Here is a 14,395-nt window from a genome sequence, read left to right on the forward strand (position 1 = left end):
TACTGCTTGCAGAAAGTCTATCTGGAGCGTGTTGTGAGAAATAGTGAGAAAAGGTTAAAATAGTGTTAGCCTCTCTTAGAATGGTGGCAGTGGGAATGGAAATAATTGATTATGGATTTGAGAGAAAATGATGATGTAAATTTTTGACACTTGGTCATTACACTTTGTACACAAGTAACTAATTATCTGCCTATTAACTAACATTGATTTATGATTTCTGTCTTTTCTGCTAGACTGTAAGTCCTAGGGGCATTGATCACGTCTGTTTTGTTTATATTTTATTCCCAGTGCTGGGCATATTCAGTAACTATTGTTACTTGATTGACTTTTAGCAACCGATTGAATGTGCTAGGCAAGGAAAAGTGATCAAAGATGATCCTAAACTTTTGAGCCTTAATGACAAGGAAACAGTTACCTCATTAGAAGTGGTAGGAGATAGAGATATACTTTCGGAGTGCATGTATGTAAGGAGCCTTGGGAAAAGAAAAGAGGATCTTAAGGACAGAACCTGAGATTTTCACCTATAGGGATATGAGTAAATAAAAGCCTTGTAAAAATGCCAGGTGTAGTGGTGTATCCTAGAGAAGAGCATGTTGTCAGAATGAGTGTTGGCCAGGCATGGTGACTCACGCCTGTAATTCCAGCACTTTGGGAGGCTGAGGTGGGCAGATCACTTGAGCCCAGGAGTCCCAGACCAGCCTGGACAACATGGCAAAAACCTGTCGCTACAAAAATTAGGAAAATTAGCTGGGCCTGGTGGTTAGTACCTGTAGTCCTAGCTATTCAGAAGGCTGAGGTTGGAGGATCATTTGAGCGCAGGAGGATGAGGCTGCAGTGAACTGAGAAAACCTCACTCCACTGTACTCCAGCCTGGGTGACAAAGCAAGACCTTGTCTCAAAAAAAATAATTTTGTGGTATATAGCACATTAGCATTTTGTGGTGTATATTTTCTAGAATATTGCTTGTCATAACATTTTTCAAATATGCTATAATGGTTTTTAATCCTGTGTTCTCTAATGATAATCATAAAACTTAGACTTTCCCTTTGTACTTGTGTCCATTTTTGACACCATGAAATGTGTTATACTTAATTGAATTGGGAAACTAACAAATTGTGTTTAAATATAAATTTTTTAAAAAACTAGTTTTATTTGCTTTTACTGATACCTATTTATATATATATTTTTTAGGACCCACAAATGTGGAAGATATGAATGCACTGTTAATCAAAGATGCTGGTATGTTAAACTTAAGTGATTTAGAAGCATTTATTTATTCAGTAGATGGAGAGTCTGTTTTGTGGTAGATTTTGTGCTGAGGGTGTTGAGATACAAGAGTAACTAAAATACAGGAACAATCTGATTGGGGAGATAACCAAGTAAACAGATAATGTATTATAATAATACTATACAGGATAGTTAATGCTAAAGTAGGTGATGATCACCAGATAGTTTGGTGTGTCTAAGGAAAGATTCCCAAAGAAGTGTAATGGAAGAACACAAGGATAAGTAGGAGTTACACGTGTGAGGAGGTGGTGATGGAAAGAGGGTGTTGCATTCCAGGGAGATGGAGCAATAAGTACAAAGACTTGAAGGAAAGAGGAGGAAGCACAGTTAGAATTTGAATTGTGACTATTTTGGTTTAACTGGAACATTGGGGTTAAAGGTTGAGTTGAGGCTGGAGAGAGTTAAGTAGGGACCAGATCATAAAATATTACATCCATTTTAGAAGCAGGCATTATTTTATAATTTTTATAGTTGGACTTAAATATTTTAGAATGAATTGAATTATCTGTTTGAAAGTAGTAAGGAATATTTAGGAAAAACATGAAGTAAAATAGTGTTTCTAAAATAAATTATTTCTTCTACTTAAATTATTTCTACTTAAATAATTTCCCTGATTAGCATATTGTGTGTTTCCTTTAATTAACATATGTTTCATACACTCATTTGCAGATCTGATATCTGAAACCTTTAATTTTTTTTCTTAAATTTTCTTCTCAGTGTATAATGCTGTTGGATTAGCTGCTTATGAGCTCTTTGACAGTGTTGATTTTGATCAGTGGTTTAAAAACCAGCTTCTTCCAGAATTACAAGTCATTCACAATAGGCAAGTATAAAATTTTATATTTATTATACACTTACTTTACCTTATTTATTTTATTAATGAAGACAGGAAGGCATTAAAATGGCTTACAATTTAAAAAATGCAATCGTATAAGTTAGGTAATGTCTTATGTGGAAAGGAATAAGAATTTTGACATCTAGGAAGTATTTGATATATCAGGTAGTTTGCAGGAGAAAAGGAGGACTTTATGCAAAGATGAGGGAGGATGGAGGTCTCTGAGTTCAAGAAACTATGCCTAAGAAAAAGACAGTTCGAAACTTAGCAGGATGTATGCCTAGTGTCAGAAGTAGCCTAATCAAAGTAACATCTGTGAAAGATGAATGTCTTGGGATCACATAATGCATACTGCAAGTCTCTGGGGAGACGGTAGAGTAGGATATAGAGACATCATGGCAAAAATATTTGAATACCCTTTCTAAGTTCTAATTGAGGTACCTAATTAAATAGTACAGATTCATATTACATTTAGTAATATGAATTATGAAATGAATTAATTTAGTACATTTAATAGCACATTTGCCCAATTCTATTTTTTTTGAAATAGTCTCATTTTGTCACCCAGCCTGGAGTGCAGTGGTGCAATCTCAGCTCACTGCAACCTCCACCTCCCAGGTCCAAGCGATTCTTGTGCCTCAGTCTCCTGAGTAGCAGGGATTACAGGCGCATGCCACCACACCTGGCCAGCCCAATTCTTACGTTTTATATACATTTAAGCACTTGTCTACTTAAATTTTAGGTATTGAATGCATAAAATGAAAGGAAAAACCTCTTTCATAGTTTATAAAATTATTTCTTAGTTTAAAATTGGAGAATTTGAAAAAATTCTAAGGGGCTTTTTTCTTAATTTGAAGGATACACTTCTACTGATTCACTTCAGTATACCTGGGGCCTATCAGAATACTTAGCATATAGTCATAGATAGTTAATATTTGTTGACTAAACTAATGAATGCATAGGTCACATTTAGAGCCACAGAATTTGTAGAGCTGGAGATACTCTAAAAGTAATTCTTAACAGTAAGTAGCTGTTTATCTCTTCAGTTATTCAATCATTTATTCAGTTAACATATATTTTTAACACTTGGAATTTGCCATGTCCTATAGGCGGTGTTAAATAAAATAGACTCTGACTTAGTCTCAGGGAGCTAGTGAGCCTTTGATGGAGAGAAAGCTTTCATTGGCGAAACAAATGTGCAGTTTAGTTGTCCTTAAACCCTAGAGGCTATTTAGTGTAAGACCTTCACTGTCCAGTGCAGAAGCTCCCTACGTGTAGCTATTGAGCACTTGAAATGTGCTTAGTGCAACTGAGGCAACAACTTTCCAATTTTAATTAATTTAAATTTAAAATTTAAAGCCATGTAAAATATTTATTGATTACATGTTGAAATGATATTTTGGATATATTGGGATATGTAAAAATATTAATAAGTTTTTTTTTTTTTTTTTGAGATGGAGTCTTGCTCTGTTGCCCAGGCTGTAGTGCAGTGGCGCGATCTCGACTCACTGCAAGCTCTGCCTCCCGGGTTCATGCCGTTCTCCTGCCTCAGCCTCCCCAGTAGCTGGGACTACAGGTGCCCGCCACCATGCCCGGCTAATTTTTTTGTATTTTTTTTTAGTAGAGACGAGGTTTCACTGTGTTAGCCAGGATGATCTCGATCTCCTGACCTCGTGATCTGCCCGCCTTGGCCTCCCAAAGAATAAGATTTTGTTTCTTTTCTCTTATAATGTGGGTACTAAAAAATTAAAATAACATATGTGGCCTGCATTATATTTCTAATGGACAAAGCTGATGTAGACCAGTGTTTCTCAAACTTTAATGTACATATGAGTCACCTGGTAATCTTGTTAAAGTTTAGGTTTTGACTTAGTAGGTCTGGGAAAAATCAAGCAATGCACACATTAAATAGCAAAGTGATCTATACTTTTACTTCTGTTTGGATGTGTCTATGAGTTTGGAATTTTACCTTTCTGAGTTTCATATTCTTTATCTGGAACAGAGTCTAATATGGTCTTAGTCCCAAAATTGATGGTTCTTTGGTGCTTTTACCTCACTCTACACAAGTTGTTACTTCTGCCTCTGTCACTTGGTTCAAACAGTTTCTGTCCCTTGAAATGACATTTTTCCACCCTTTGGCTCCAATATTGTTTATCTCAAAGACTTGCTCAGATTCCGTCTGTCTCTGCCCATTTCTTCTCTTCCTTTTCTAAAGTCCTAGTACACTACTTTGTGTTTTTAAATTCCTTTAGGTGTGTTATAAACTTCTTGGGGGCAGGGAATACTTACATACTTTTTTTTGTAACTTTATTTATGTTATTTAATTTTTGAGATGGGGTCTCACTTTGTCACCCAGGCTAGAGTGCAGTGCCATGATGTTGGCCCACTGCAATCTCTGCTTCCTGGGCTCAAGTGATCCTCCCACCTCTGCCTCCTGAGCAGCTGGGACCACGATGTGTGCCACCATGCCCAGCTATTTTTGTGTAGTTTTGGTAGGGTTTTATCATATTGGCCAGGCTGGTCTCAAACTCCTGAGCTCAAGCCATCTGCCCACCTCAGCCTCCCAAATGCTGGGATTACAGGTGTAAGCCACTGCACCCGGCCCAGTTTTTGCAACTTTAATGAGCAGTTTTTTCCTGTGTGCTTGATCATCTTTTAAAATTGCAATTTTTTGGGAAAAAAAAAAGTGTTTCATTTATACCCAGAAATATTTATCATCTTGCCACTAAAATTTACATAATATCAAAAAGGTACTTCATGAGTGAAATTCTTGGACACAAATGTTTTGAACTGCATGATTTTTCTCCTTACCTGAACTTTGATTTCTTTTAGCGAAGATGATGAGAGAAAGAAAGAAATGTATATATGTGCTACTGTAAATGTTTTGCCAGTGTTAATATATGTTATTTTGGTAATCTGAGTCACATTCTGTTATTGTGTACCTCTTACAAAATTAGCTTAGTTGAAATCACAAAATTTATATGAAAGTTTTATATAAGCCTAGAAGTTTCTTACATTGTTCTGAAAATAATCTTCATAGTATTAACAGAATTGGAGTAGAAAATTACATACAGGAGCTTCTTTATTATTATTTTTGGGGACCTTTCCAGTTTTAGAGTTTGGGGCATTGCCACTGTTTTTGGTTACTTGAGCTAAAACCAAATGGATTTGGTTTTTATGAAACATACCTACATTGCGGTTCTTTAAGATAAAAGAGTCAGGATTACAACATATATGCCTAGGAATTTTTAAGTACTAAAAGTTTTAATAATATTTATTTAGATCAAGACTTCATTGTTAATATTTTGTACTGTGGTACATTTAGAAGTAGGCTTTAAGCTTTTTTTTTTTTTTGACAGAGCCTTGATCTGTTGCCTAGGCTGGAGTGCAGTGGCACAATCTTGGCTTATTGCCAACCTCTGTCTCTTGGGTTTCAAGGGATTCTCATGCCTCAGACTTCCAAGAAGCTGGGACCACAGGTGCATGCCACCACGCCCTGCTAATTTTTGTATTTTTAGTAGAGATGGGGTTTCACCATGTTGCCCAGATTGGTCTTCAACTCCTGGCCTCAAGTGATTTGCCCTCCTTGGCATTCCAAAGTGCTGCGATTATAAGCATGAGCCAGCACACCTGCTTTTAAGCTTTTATATTAAAAATGCAGATTGCATTCTTACTACATTTTAGATTTAAATGATAAATTATACTAAAAGAAATAGACCTCTTAAAATATTTAACATTTTAATTTCATGATTTTTTCCTGTTTAGGTATAAGCCATTGCGACGCAGGGTGATTTGGCTCATCGGTCAGTGGATTTCTGTGAAATTCAAGTCTGACTTAAGACCCATGCTTTATGAAGCAATCTGTAACTTGCTTCAAGATCAAGATTTAGTGGTATGTTTCTTAAGTGCCTTAAAAGAGTTAGTTTTTAAAGTTTCATCTGTGCAAATCATCAAGTTCACAACAGTTTATGTCTTTTCTTTATGATGTTTATGGCCTTTCACTGCACTAGTTATTCCTTGGTGAGCAGTTTGATTTGAGGGTAGAAAATCTTTTGATTCTTGTTTGCCCTTCCCATTACTAGTCATTGAAAAAAAAATTAAGCTCTACTATTATAAAGTAATTTATAATTTCTTAGAAAAAAAGGCAGTTTTAAAAAATCCCTTTATAGCTTACATATTCTTTTTAAAAATCAGGATAGACTTTGGCATTGAAATAGCATCATAATTTATTTCATCTTTACTGTTGATTCTTTGTCCCTCATTTTGAGAATTTTTTTTAAGCCTTTGGAATTATTGGGCTCTTTTAAGGAATTTTTCTTTCTTTATGGTATTCATATATTATTGTTGATTTTGTTACTGAGAACTTGATAGTAAGCTCTTCATTGCTTTTTCCCCCTTCAAAGCAGTAGGTTTGCTGCTTTATTATAAAATTACTGAAATAGTAGTAGTAATTTTACAGGCGTATGATTTTAAGAAGTTTAAATTGTAAAGAATAGTTTTCTTTCTTTTTTCCTACTGGTGCTTTACTGTATGCCTGGGTGAATATATTAGTGACTTAATATACATGTTCGCTGTCTTTTCCTGATTTTCAATTTGTTTTAGGTAAAATTAAGTGATTTTTTTTTTCTCCCCTGAGTTGTGCTAAGATCTTTTTTAATCATTTCTCAGTCTCCCTCCCTTTACCCCCCCAAATTTTATTTTTAGTTTGAACCCACCTGGTTTTTGCCTGTCAGCAGAGGTTTGGACTGTACTTCCCTTTTTTACATATGCTGACATAAAGAAAGCTACATGTAGTGTTCACTAAAGGAAAGCTTAAATAGGTGAATTTGTTACAGAAACACAATACATTCCAAAGGCAAATAGAACTGATCTTTGGATTTTCTACCTAAGTATTATCTGCTTTGTGTAAATAATTTGAGAATTTAAGTACCATTCTGTAATTATTAAATACTATAAGCATGGGAAGTTACAAGAGAGCCTTGTGGTATTTTACTGGGTTTACATTCTTAGAAATTTATTAATATAACTTAGCTACTTCTAAAATTTCTATTTGCTAAAATTAATTTTCTTCTGTAATAACTTTAGAATAAAGCATAAGATTTAAATTTTTGCTTTCCTAGTTGGAAATATTTGCCCTTCTGTCAAAGAGAAGATATTAAATGATTTATGGATGTGTTACAAAAGGGTTAAATTTCAATTAAGTTTTCTTTGGGAAATAGAGAAATTGCTTGGAGTTTTTCTTTTTTCTGTTTTGTTTTGGGAGACTGAGTCTCTCTTTTTTGCCTCGGTTGCAGTGCAGTGATACTATCACGGCTCATTGTAGCCTCAATGTCCTGGGCTTAGCTGATCCTCCCACCTCAGCCTCCCAGGTATCTGGGACTATATGCACCACAACGCCTGGCTGATTTTTCTGTTTTTTGTAGAGATGGTATGTTGCCACATTGCCCAGGCTGGTCTTGAACACCTGGACTCAAACGATTCACCCACCTCAGCCTCCCAAAGTGTTGGGATTATAGGCGTGAGCCACTGCACTGGGCCCCGAAATTGCTTGGGTCTTAGACTTGTTTTATAATGAGTCTATTAAAAAAGGAAAGAGAAAAATGAATTATTTCAGCCAGCACCTTAAAAACAGAACATTAATTCTACCAGATATCAACAAGTGTAACTGGAGAGAAAGGGATTCATGGCCAGATAAGTTTGGAAGACTCTGAAATAAATATTCAAATGGGCCTCTTAGTTAGGCAACTGGTCAGAGTCTTTAAAAATGTGCATTTGTGGCATGCGTGGTGACTCACGCCTATAATCCCAGCACTTTGGGAGGCCAAGGTGGGCTGATCACGAGGTCAGGAGTTTGAGACCAGCCTGGCCAGCACGATGAAACCCCATCTCTACTAAAAATACAAAAATTAGCTGGGCATGGTGGCATGCGCCTGTAGTCCCAGTTACTTGGGAGGCCGAGGCAGGAGAATCGCTTGAACCTGGGAGGCAAAGGTTGCAGTGAGCCGAGATTGCCCCACTGCACTCCAGCCTGAGCGACAGAGAGACTGTGTCTCAAAAAAAAAAAGAAAAAAAAAAAGAAGTACGTTTGCATTATGACTAGCCCACATGACTAATACATTAATATTCATAGAATATACTTTGAGGAAATGTTGCTTTAGGTTCAGCCTTTGCCCTTTATATCTTCTGGTGGCTACATCTCACGTTTACTTGTTTTGCATATGTTTTATACTGTAACTATTATTTTGCAATAAATTGTTAAGAAGATTGTTCAGTAAGGCACCCAGTTAGTGGTTAGTGTTGTAAACCTTGGCCTTTTTAAAAAGTACATTTAAAATCAAGAATGTATAAGTCATACTGCTTTAATTTTCAGCCTTTGAGAAATGCTAGCTAATATAATGTGGGGAGATATCTTATACATGCATACCTATACACAATAGTGTACAACCATATAGAGACATGTATGTATATATATGCAAACATGCATTTATATATATAAACATATACACAAACACACATTGTGTATGTATGTGTATACATATGTGTCACACAATTAAGTCAAATTGCTACACTGAGGAAAACTTAACAATATTTCAAATAAACCAAAAAATATGTCACTCTGCATTATATTTCCCTAGATCAGACAGTAATTTTATATTGTCACACGGCTATCAGAGGTAAGAGACATTCTCTGCCCAGCGGCCTCTGATGTTATAAAATTTGTGAAGTCCTATACTAACTGGAGAAGTTGTTTCCTCCAGTTGCTGCACTGCTTCTGCTGTGTCACAAGTATGTAGATCCTGATGAATCGAATTCCTCTCTGGCTTTCAGAATCTGCATTCTCTTTCCTAAGGGCTGCTGTTAAGGAATCGGGATACATTTGATACTGATTAACTACCGTTGTCCATGTGCTATTCTTTTGTTATTAGAAGGAGACTGGCTGTGACGGAGTAGAAGTAGCTGTCAATTTTTTTTTCTTTTTTTGGCTGCTCCGTAGAAAGAGCAGGGCTACCCCATAGGCAAGAATTTTGTCAATAAAAAATTCAGCAGCTAACAGAAGAAGCACTTGTGTGCTCATCACTCAGTTACCCATATTTTCATTTGTAATATTTTCCACATATATTTCAAATATTTTATTTAAGAAATGAAATATTACAAATGCAGTTGAATTCCTCTTTCTCTTTCCAGTCTCATTCTATTGTCTTTGTTAAGCAGAGGTTTTACATTTTAATAGATTTATTGATTACTTTTTTTTTGAGACAAGGTCTCACTTTGTTGCCCAGGCTAGACTGCTATGGTGAGGTCACGACTCACTGCAGCCTCAACACCCGAGGGCTCAGGCAATTGTCCCACATCAGCCTCTCGAGTTGCTAGGACTATAGGAGTGTACCACTATGCCTGGCTAATTTTTTGATTTTTTGTATAGACGAGGTCTCACTGTGTTGGCCAGGCTGGTCTAGAACTCTGGGCTCAAGCTGTCTTCCCACCTTGGCCTCCCAAAGTGTTAGGATTATAGGCATTGGCCCCTCGGCCTGGAAAGAAATCCTTTTTCTTCACTCTTGGTTTTTTATTCTGCCTCGAATTTATTTTTGAGTGTGATGTAAGTAAGGTTCTATCTTTCTTTTTTAAAAAATAAGGATGGCAATACTACAGTGATTCACTGAATAATACGTAGTTTTCTTTGTGGTCCATACGGCTGTCTCTGTCATATCCCATGTTTACATGTGGACCTGTTTCTGGAATTTGTGCCGTTTCACTGGCCTACTTGTGTATCTCTACTTGAATATTGTTTTTTTTTTTTGTTGTTGTTGTTGTTTCTTAAACAACAGCTTTATAGTAAGCCTTCACACCTGGTAGGAAATGCATTCTTATAGCTTTCAATACCCACAAATTTTTCATAGTTTATGGAAGATTAAATACTGTTTTCATTAGCCATTTTTTTTTTGCATGTGGTCCAGTGTTTGTACTTACTGTTAATTGACCACCTTTTTAAACTTATTGTTAACAGACTACCTCTTTTGGAGCATATCGGTAGTTCCTTGTGCCATAATTTGAGAACTACTGACCTGGATTCTATACAATAGACCAAAACACCTTCTAAAAAGTATCTTTTACATTCTCCCTTCCTTTCCCCTTTATAATATATTAGTTAGTAGATAGAGTGCTTATGACAACTTCTAGGTTTTAGAACATTATTTCTACACTGTAAACTAGAATTGCTAAACTGTAGTTTAGAGGAACCTTCTTTTCCCAGGACTACAGATGATTCTTTAACCAGAATCTTTGTTTATAAACTGGGCTTCTTTAGGCTGTAGGGTTTCTGAACTAATTATATCTTTAAGTTTCAGAAATTCAAAGGAAGTTTTTAGGACGTCTTGGCTGGGCACGGTGGCTCACGCCTGTAATCCCAGCACTTTGAGAGGCCAAAGTGGGTGGATCACCTGAGCCTGGCCAACATGGGGAAACCCCATCTCCACTAAAGATACAAAAATTAGCTGGGCATGGTGGCGGGCACCTGTAGTCCCAGCTACTCAGGAGGTTGAGGCAGGAGAATTGCTTGAATCTGGCAGGTGGAGGTTGCAGTGAGCCGAGATCAAACCACCATACTCCAGCCTGAGCAACAGAGCAAGATTTCATCTTAAAAGAAAAAAGAAATTTTTAGAAAGTTTTACTTAGATTATTTAACCTTCAGTAAAACAAGCAGTAAATTACTAGAAATTCAGCATTAGTATAATCTTTCACTTTTGTGAAAGCCTATGTAAGATATAAACTGTGGTATAATCAGAAAGCGTGTAGTTTGAGGGTGTGGTGTGGTTGCTTGTGAAGCAAAGAAATGGCCGTCTTCATGGGCACGTTGACTACCAACCAGCATAGACATATAGTCATGTGCTGTTTCATGACGGGTATATTCCGAGAAATGCGTCCTTAGGCGATTTCCTCATTGTGGGGACATCATAGAGTGTGCTTTTACACAATCTGAGATAGTAGAGGCTATCTCGGCTGTGGGTACAAACCAGTGTAGCATGTTACTGTACTAAATACTTTAGGCAGTTGTAACATGATGGTAAGTATTTGTGTGTCTAAACAGAAAAGGTACAGTAAGAATATAATATAAAAGATAAAAAACGTTACACCTCTATAGGGCGCTTAACTTGAATAGCGCTTGCAGGCTTGGATGTTGCTCTGGGTGAGGCAGTCAATGAGTGATTAGTGAATGTGAAAGCCTAGAAAATCACTGTATACCACTGTAGACTTCATAATCATTGTACACTTAGGCTACACTAAATATATTGGGAAATATTCTTTCTTCAACAATAAATTAACCACATCTTACTCTAACTTTTTTTTTTTTTTTTTTTTTTTTGAGACGGAGTCTCGCTTTGTCGCCCAGGCTGGAGTGCAGAGGCGCAATCTCGGCTCACTGCAAGCTCTGCCTCCTGTAACTTCTTTAGTTTAAAAATTTTTTAAAGTTCTTGACTCCTTTGTAATAGCACTTAGCTTAAAATACACATACATTGTATATTTGTGCAAAAATATTTTCTTTTGTTATATCCTTATTCTGTAAGCTTTTTTTATTTTACAGTTTTTTCCACTTCTAGTAATTTTTCTTAAAATCTAAATCAAAGACACAAACACATTAGCCTAGGCCTACGCAGGGTTAGGATCATCAATATCATTGTCTTGCACCTCCACATCTTGTCCCACTAGAAGGTCTTCTGGGGCGTTAACACACATGCAGCTGTCATCTCCTATGATAACAATGCCTTCTTCTGAGCTGGGTGTGGTAGCTCACGCCTATAATCCAAGCACTTTGGAAGGCCAAGGCGGGCAAATTGCTTGAGCCCAGGAATTCAATACCAGTTTGGGCAACATGATGAAACCCTGTCTCCACAAAAAATACAAAAATTAGCCAGACATGGTGGCATGTGCCTATAGTCCCAGCTACTCGGGAGGCTGAGGTGGGATTGCTTGAGCCTAAGAGGTCAAGGCTGCTGTGAGCCATGATCATGCCACTGCAGTTCCAGCCTGGGTGACAGAGTGAGACTCTTTCAAAAAAAGAAACAACAACAAAAAATGCCTTCTCCTGTCATACCTACTGAAGGACCTGCCTGAGGCAGTTTTACAGTTAACTTTTTTTTTAATTGGTAGAGGAGTATATTCTAAAGTAACAATAAAGAAGTATAGTGTAGCATATACATAAGCCAGTAACGTAGTTGCTTATTTTCATTATTAAGTATTATATACTACTGAACATAATTGTATGTACTATACTTTTGTTTTATAAAGAGACAGGGTCTTGCTGTGTCACCCAGGCTGGAGTACAGTGGCGTGATCATAGCTTACTGCAGCCTTGAATTCCTGGGCTCAAGTTATCCTCCCACCTCAACTTCCCAATTACCTGGGATTACAAGTGCATGTTACCAGGCCTTCCTAATTCTTTGATTTTTTTGTAGAGTGGGATCTCTCTATGTTGCCCAGGCTGCTCTCAAACTTTGAGCCTCAAGCAATTCTCCCTTTGTGGCCTCCCAAAGTACTGGGATTATAGGTGTGAGCAACTGCACCAGGCCATGTCTGTGCTGTACTTTTATACTACTGGCTGTGCAGTAGATTTCTTTACACCAGCATCACCGCAAATGCATAGGTAATGTGATGTGTTTTGACAGCCATGACATCACTATGTGATGGGAATTTTCAACTCAGTTATAATCTTATGAGACTACGTTTGTAAATGTGATCTGTTGTTGACTAATACATTATTATGTGATGCATAATTGTATTGAATTTTCTAAAATGGAAAGTTACTAGGTGGAGTTTAATGAAGTACTTTCAGTGGTATGGAGAAGACTGTAGCATAGCCTGTATTTACTGTGGGAAGTACAGCTGGGATCTGGGCAGAGGTATTACAGGTGCTTTGAAACTCTTCTGTCTTTCCACTCTTGTGCGTTTTATGGGTCTTTCAGTTTTGTCAATTTTTCTTTTGTACACTCTCTAATTTTTTTTTCTATTTACCTATCCTTTGTATCTCAAAAACACTGCTACAGATCTTGATCTCTCAACTAGTCTGTGTTTTGAACGATCCCAGAATGAATTCTGAATTCAATTATACTCATCAAATATAAATTCTGAAGGAAATATAAAATAATCTGTGTTTGAGACATCAAAATATTAGACCTATCTAAAACCAAGAAGAAAGGAAACCTTAGTCTACTAAGTTTCCTACAGTCAGTTTTGAGTTTATAATTGATATGTCTATTAATTATACATGAAAATGACCTTGAGAATTTTTTTCTTGAAAGGAGATGAATTTATTTATTTATTTTTATTTTATCTCTGGTCCTTGATTCAGGAGGAGATGAATACATCAAAGATGCTTTCTATCCTTTTAGGAAACTTATTCATATAACATTTCAGAAGGATGATACCAGATTGTATAATTCAGTGTACTAATGTATAGGATAATGTCATTTATGTTAGTATTTCTTATGCCTAGCGTGGAGTCAAGTCTTAGAAAATGCTTATTGAAAGAATTAGGAATAGGGATAGGAAAGAACCCAAGAATGAGGATGGCTTTTTAAATAATTGAATTATGAAATCATAATTTTATTTCTCCTTAGCATATTATTATTTTGTGTCTGCCTTATTTACATTTTCCTGGTGGTCTTAAGTCCCTGAGATACTGCCATTTCTTTCTGGCCCCAACACCATGCTCACTGTTTTAGTCTGTGGACTGCCTTCACTGCTATGGGCAAGATGTAAAAGTGGTCAGGCATTAGGCTAGTCCAAATCCACCTAAGTGTCTTGATAAGATGCATTCGTTGTGACATCTGCACAGAAGTTTCTGGCTCTGCTTACCTTTGTAGCAGTATTTGGAAGTACTGTTGACCTGCATTTTCTTCTCATTCATTTCCCTGTTTCTCTCATGCTTTGGGGGATCTGTCCAATGTTTCTTATGTCTTGACGGCACTTACTCTCCCAATTTGGAATTGCCTGTTATCTTTTCCTGAATTTTCTGAGGTTTCAGCTGGGGTAGGGTAGACAGACTCACAGTAGAAATGTGTTAGACTTTTCTACCAGTCTTCTAGCACACTCCACAAGTCTTCATTCTATAAACTCAAGTTTTGATGTTGTCCCCCCATTGCTTGAGTTGCTGCCAAATTCATTCCATTTCTTTGTGGTAAGTACCTCTTATTTCTTTTAAAGCTCAGGAAGAGCCGACTGTTTTTCTTATGTTTATTTGTCATCATTTAAAATGCTCTTTAACTTTCCTTAAAAGTC

The 14,395-nt window shown here is 36.7% G+C and overlaps 1 protein-coding gene across 2 annotated transcripts in view, besides 1 other annotated feature; it reads left to right on the forward strand.

The window, feature by feature from the left end:
* The window catches only part of IPO11 (importin 11), a 215,820-nt gene that overhangs the window by 75,348 nt on the left and 126,077 nt on the right, over positions 1-14,395 (forward strand). For both annotated transcript variants that reach the window (NM_016338.5, NM_001134779.2), the window contains exons 14-16: positions 1,192-1,239; positions 2,005-2,110; positions 5,888-6,014. In NM_016338.5, coding sequence (NP_057422.3) covers positions 1,192-1,239; positions 2,005-2,110; positions 5,888-6,014 — 281 coding nt within the window. The remainder of the gene's footprint in view (positions 1-1,191; positions 1,240-2,004; positions 2,111-5,887; positions 6,015-14,395) is intronic.
* Positions 7,938-8,133: a silencer, noted in NCBI's record as "fragment chr5:61791875-61792070 (GRCh37/hg19 assembly coordinates)". NCBI's record gives its function as "represses an EF-1alpha promoter that drives an FKBP-Casp9 reporter gene in an ReSE screen in HepG2 liver carcinoma cells {active_cell/tissue: HepG2}" and the evidence as "EXISTENCE:reporter gene assay evidence [ECO:0000049][PMID:32094911]".

The sequence above is a fragment of the Homo sapiens genome, chromosome 5 (genome assembly GCF_000001405.40).
Source record: "Homo sapiens chromosome 5, GRCh38.p14 Primary Assembly".
Taxonomy (NCBI): Eukaryota; Metazoa; Chordata; class Mammalia; order Primates; family Hominidae; genus Homo; species Homo sapiens.